Genomic DNA, 6,209 nt, shown 5'->3' on the forward strand with positions numbered 1-6,209 from the left:
CACTGGGTGAGTAAACACGACTAATTTCCACCACAGATTTGAACACTTTCTGTCTGTTTCTAACACCTCTACTCTTCCTACAGTATCTCCAGACCACATTTTTAGACTTGTGAGCACAGTACAGTGACCTCTGCTCCATTCTTGGGAGGATAATAGGACTGTCCTATAGAATGTCAAACTTGCAGATTCTTCCCTCGATTTTATTAAAAGATTCTGTAAACTATAACATAGCACAACTGGGAACAGATGACATTTTGTAGCCACCAAGGGTAGCCTGCTTCAAGTGGCCCAGGACTTCCTTCAAGATGAATATAACAAGAGTTTTTGGGTTTGAATGAGTCAAATAATTGCTGTCTAATTGTCTAACAATTAAGTCACAGGAGAGGCAGGAAGTATAGTTGCTGTAAGCATTTTTGAGTAGTCACACTTTGGACCTGACCCCAAATCAGTGTTCCTGGTTCCTGCTTATACCCCAAGGAGTGACTGTGTATGCGAACTGATAGAATTGATTGTAGAGATGTAACTCTGGGGCCAAATGTGTGTAGCTCTTGGCCACACTTAGCACTGAAGGAGTCGGATCATTCTCTCTCAATGGATATCCAGAAACTGGGTCTCACATAATCACAGAACAAAGCATTCACAAGACTGTGCAAAGCTTTCTTCAACAGCAACCCCTCTGGCAACATGAGGCAACTGCAGCAGTGAACTAATCAGACCCCTGTCCTTAGCCACTTGTAGGTTAACCATGGGCAGACATTCCCCTTGGAACTAAGAACACCTGTATGGTTCACAGATCATTTAAGAGGGCACAGAGAACTCCACAAGAAAAGTGATGAACATTCTACTAATAAGGCAGGTGGTTGCGGAAGCAATTCGTAGGGAAAATGAAAGCACTCTGCCTCATTCAGGCCCCAAGTTTGTGGAGATGTTCTTGCTGCCAACACAAGGAATAAATGAGAGTCTGGATCTAGGTTCCTAAGAACCATTCCTGGTATATAGGAATATAGTAATATTTGGCCTTTTATAATTCCAGTCAACAGCACTTTTTCCCCTTTTAAATTTTTTTTTAATTTTTTGAGACAAGGTCTTGCCCTGTCACCCAGGCTGGAGTACAGTGGTATGATCTCAGCTCACTGCAACCTCCACCTCCTTGGTTCAAGCGGCTTTTCTGCCTCAGTCTCCTGAGTAGCTAGGACTACAGGTACACACCACCTCACTTGGCTATTTTTTTTTTGTATTACTGGAGATGGGGTTTCACTGTGTAGGCTAGGCTAGTCTCGAACTCCTGACCTCAAGTGATCCATCTGCCTTGGCCTCCCAAAGTGCTGGTATTACAGGCATAAGCCACCACATCCAGCCATTTTTTCAGTTTTTATTGTTGTTGTCACTTGCCAGAGACCATGATTGTCTCTTACTCAAACACCACTGTATTTAATGTAATCCCATCTGAAATTCTGTGAGGTAGATAGCATTATCATTCATCCCCACATTATCGATTTTTTTTAATGGAGGTTCAGAAAGGGAAGATGATATGCCCAAAGTCACACCATGGTAGAACCAGGACTAGAACTCAGATTTCCCGCTCCCCAACTAGTGCTTCCATTAACTAAGGGCTTTGTGTTCTCAAACACAATGGGCAAAGGGAGACAGAAAACTTGTGTTTCTTGAACATCTGTGATGGCAGGCACCACGCTGGGCATGTTTACATATATCAGCTCATTTACTCTTCTCCACAGTCCCATGAGGCCTCTGTGGTATCATTTCCCCCATTTTAGTCAAACGGAGGCACAAAGAGAGAGGCGGTACCTTTCCCTGAATCACTGTACAGCAGGAGTCTCTGATGGGATTCAGCATAAAGAGGACATTTTTCCAGGAAGGAAGCTCCCTGCCCAATGGGACTGGTGGAGTCTCATCCTCACTCCTACTCTCCAGAAACATCACTGAACCACTCCACTCTTCCCAGGAAACAAATTCTGGGCACACTCCAGGGTCCCTGAAAAAGACTCCCTCACCTCCAACTTTACCAGCTGGCTCCATCCAAGAGTGAAACTGGCCCAATTTTCCCATAGAATTAGGGGTGTAAACATATACAACTTTGGTATAAAAGGAAAAATTGAAGTTATTTGTTAAATATACTCAGTTCCTAATTGGTATCCATCTCTGTACTAAACATCAAAAAAATAAAGTCCAGACTCTCAAGCATGTAAATGAACAATTTTACAATTGTTCATTTGATTATAAGTCTGTGATATGGTTTGGCTGTGTCCCAACCCAAATCGCATATTGAGTTGTAGCTTCCATAATCCCATGTGTAGTGGGAGGGACCCAGTGGGAGGAAATTGAATGATGAGGGCTGGTTTTCCCATGCTGTTCTCATGGTAGTGAATAAGTCTCACAAGATCTGATGGTTTTATAAAGGGCAGCTAGTTCTCCTGCACACACCCTCATGCCTGCTGCCATGTAAGATGTGCCTTTGCTCCTCCTTCCCCTTCCACCACGATTGTGAGGCTTCCCCAGCCATGTGGAAATGTGAGTTCATTAAACCACTTTTTCTTTATAAATTACCCAGTCTCAGGTATTTCTTCATAGCAGTATGAAAATGAACTAATTCAGGCTGCTGCAAGGAACAGGAAAGGGCCAGAGACAAGGCAAAGCTGGAGCATGCTAGAAGACAGATCTTGTCTTGAAGAGTCTAAAACTATCATTAAAGTCTCCCTGAAAGTTTGCAGATTACACTTAGGGATTTATAAGTGCTCAGCAATAACTTATTAAAATTTTAGTGTGTTCACAAATACTAGCACATTCTGGATCATCTCCCTGACAACCAGAATGGAATCCATGCAATGATTTGATTTGTGATCATTTTGGGGTCTAGTAATAATGTGTGTTTTTTCTCATTAAATTTTGTTTTAATGGGTCTCAAAATTCTGTGACAGATTTTTGGTCAAGTTGCTTCCATTGAAAAGTACTGATTTTAAAAACTAATAATTTAAAACTGCCACACGAAAAAACAAAACAAAACAAAAAATCAAAGTGGTCCACAAAACATTCTCCTTTCCTTCTGAAGGTTTTATGATGCATTGTTATCATTAACCAGTCTTTTACCATTAAACTTAAATGGGCAATTGAAACAAACAGTTCTGAGACTGTTCTTCCACCAATTAAGACCAGGGTAGCAGGTATTAGGGATAATATTCATTTAGCCTTCTGAGCTTTCTGGGCAGACTTGGTGACCTTGCCAGCTTCAGCAGCCTTCTTGTCCACTGATTTGATGACACCCACAGCAACTGTCTGTCTCATATCACGAATAGCAAAGCGACCCAGAGGTGAATAGTCTGAGAAGCTCTCAATACACATGAGCTTTCTAGGAACCATATCAACGATGGCAGCATCACCAGATTTCAAGAATTTAGGGCCGTCTTCCAGATTTTTACCAGAATGGAGATCAATCTTTTCCTTCAGCTTAGCAAACTTGCAGGCAATATGAGCCGTGTGGCAGTCCAGTACAGGGGCATAGTCCACACTTATTTGGCCTGGGTGGTTCAGGATAATCACCTAAGCGGGGAAGCCAGCTGCTTCCATTTGTGGGTTTTCTTTTTGCTGTCACCAGCATCGTTGCTATGACGAATCTCCTTGACGGACATGTTCTTGACATTGAAGCCCACATTGTGCCCAGGAAGAGCTTCACTCAAAGCTTCATGGTGCTTTTCAACACAATTTACTTCAGTTGTAACACTGACAAGAGCAAAGGTGACCTCCATGCTGGGTTTGAGAACACCAGTGTCCATTCGGCCAACAGGAACAGTACCAATACCACCAATTTTGTAGACATCCTGGAAAGGCAGGCGCAAGGGCTTGTCAATTAGACAAGTTGGTGGTAGGATGCAGTCAAGAACCTCAAGCAGTGTGGTTCCACTGGCATTGCCATCCTTACAGGTTGCTTTCCATCCCTTGAACCAAGGCATATTAGCACTTGACTCCAGCATGTTGTCACCATTCCAACCAGAAATTGGCACAAATGCTGCTGTGTCAGAGTTGTAGCCAATTTTTTTTTTTTTTTTTTTTTGAGATGGAGTTTCACTCTTGTGGCCCAGGCTAGAGTGCAATGGTGCAATCTTGACTCACTGCAACCTCCACCTCCTGGGTTGAAGCAATTCTCCCGCCTCAGCTTCCTGAGTACCTGGGATTACAGGTGTATGCCACCACGCCCAGCTAATTTTTGTATTATTAGTAGAGACTGGGTTTCACCATGTTGGCCAGATGGGTCTCGAACTCCTGACCTCAGGTGATCCACCCGCTTCAGCCTCCCAAAGTACTGGGATTACAGGCATGAGCCACTGTGTCCTGCCAAATTTTCTTAATGTAAGTGCTGACTTCCTTAACGATTTCCTTGTATCTCTTCTGGCCATAGGGTGGCTCGGTGGAATCCATTTTGTGAACACCAACAATTAGTTGTTTCACACCTAGTGTGTAAGCCAGCGGGCATGCTCACAGGTCTGCCCATACTTGGAAATACCAGCTTCAAATTCACCAACACCAGCAGCAACAATCAGGACAGCACAGTCAGCCTGAGATGTCCCTGTAATCATGTTTTTGATGAAGTCTCTGTGTCCAGGGGCATCAATGATAGTCACGTAGCACTGGCTGGTCTCAAAATTCCACAGGGAGATATCAATGGTGATACCACATTCATGCTCAGCTTTCAGTCTATCTAAGTCCCAGGCATACTTGAAGGAGCCCTTTCCCATCTCAGCAGCCTCTTTCTCAAATTTTACAATGGTTCTTTTGTCAATGCCACCACATTCGTAGATCAGATGGGCAGTGGAGGTTGACTTGCCTGAATCTACATGTCCAATGATGACAATGTTGATGTGAGTATTTTCCTTTCCCATTTTGGCTTTAGGAGTAGTTTTCATAACACCTGTGTTCTGGTGGCAAAACCATTGCAAAAAAAAAAAAGAAGTAATAATGTTTTAATTGTCCCAGAACAAGGGGGAAAAGGCCGGGCTGGACTTTATACATAAATGATGTGTTTGTGCCAGATAAAGACTGTGAGATATGATGAGGTTTCTCTTCAAATAATCTAATAAATCTTTTATTCTTTAATTCATAGTACCCACCACCCCCTGCTTTTCCTTTTTCTCCTTTTTCCTTTGTTAAATGACCAGGCACGCCACAATACCAGGCATTATCAATACCAACTCACATTCCTTTCCTTATTTAAAAAAAAAAAAAAAAAACTAACTTTCTAGCTCATTACAACATCCCTTCCCCTTCCTCTCCACTTTCTTTTACGTGCCCACCTTATCTAAAAAAATTCAAGTGCTTAGCCAATTGAAATTAGTTTAAATTGTGTGACTCGACCCTGGCCAATGGGGAAAGGGTACAGGGACAGGACTTGCATCAAAAATAAAGACTTGTGCCCCTTTGTTCAGGTGTGCTCTCGTGGCAACTGGCCAAAGAAGCACCCCTCTGCACAGAAGTAAAATTGCTTTGTTAAAAATCCATTGTTTGAGTGTTCAATTTCCTTCAACTTTTAAGCATTATTCCCAAGAAGACCAACTGAATGGCTTGCGATGCCAGTTATGTTCTAGAACCAAACTGAGGTTCACTCACCCAGAGCAGTAAATCCAGATACCTACCCAGAGGTGTTTGCAGTGATAGAAAGAAAGGCACTTATTGCAGGGTGCCCAGCAAGGAGAATCAGGTCAGGTCATGCTTAAGACCCAAACTCCCCAGTGTCTACAAGCCAAGTACCTGCAAGGTAAGGGCTTTTTTCGTTGGTAGTGATGGTGGATTTCTTTAGACAGGGTCTTGCTCTGCCCTCTGTTGCCAAGCCTAGAGTGCAGTGGCATGATCATATAGCTCACTGTAGCCTCAATCTCCTGGGCTCAAGTGATCCTCTAGCCTCAGCCTCCCAAGTAGCTGGAACTAAAGGTGCCTGCCACCACACCCGGCTAATTTTTTTATTTTTAGTAGAGATGAGGTCTGATATGTTGCCCAGGCTGGTCTTGAACCCCTGGGCTCAAGCAGTCTTCCCACCTTGTCCTCCCAAAGTTCTGGGATTAAAGGCATGAGCCACAACCCCTGGGGCAGGTAAGGGTTTTTAAAGACAAGGGTAAACTTCAGGAAAGCAGAAACTACAGGCAAAATCGTAAATCAATGCATGAAGGTTACACATTGGTTTAAGATTAAAAGGAGGAGATATC

At 43.2% G+C, this 6,209-nt stretch overlaps 1 pseudogene; it reads right to left on the reverse strand.

Moving 5' to 3' along the window:
• On the reverse strand, positions 3,017-4,953 carry EEF1A1P38 (eukaryotic translation elongation factor 1 alpha 1 pseudogene 38; annotated as a pseudogene).

Source organism: Homo sapiens, chromosome 16 (assembly GCF_000001405.40).
Source record: "Homo sapiens chromosome 16, GRCh38.p14 Primary Assembly".
Classification (NCBI taxonomy): domain Eukaryota; kingdom Metazoa; phylum Chordata; class Mammalia; order Primates; family Hominidae; genus Homo; species Homo sapiens.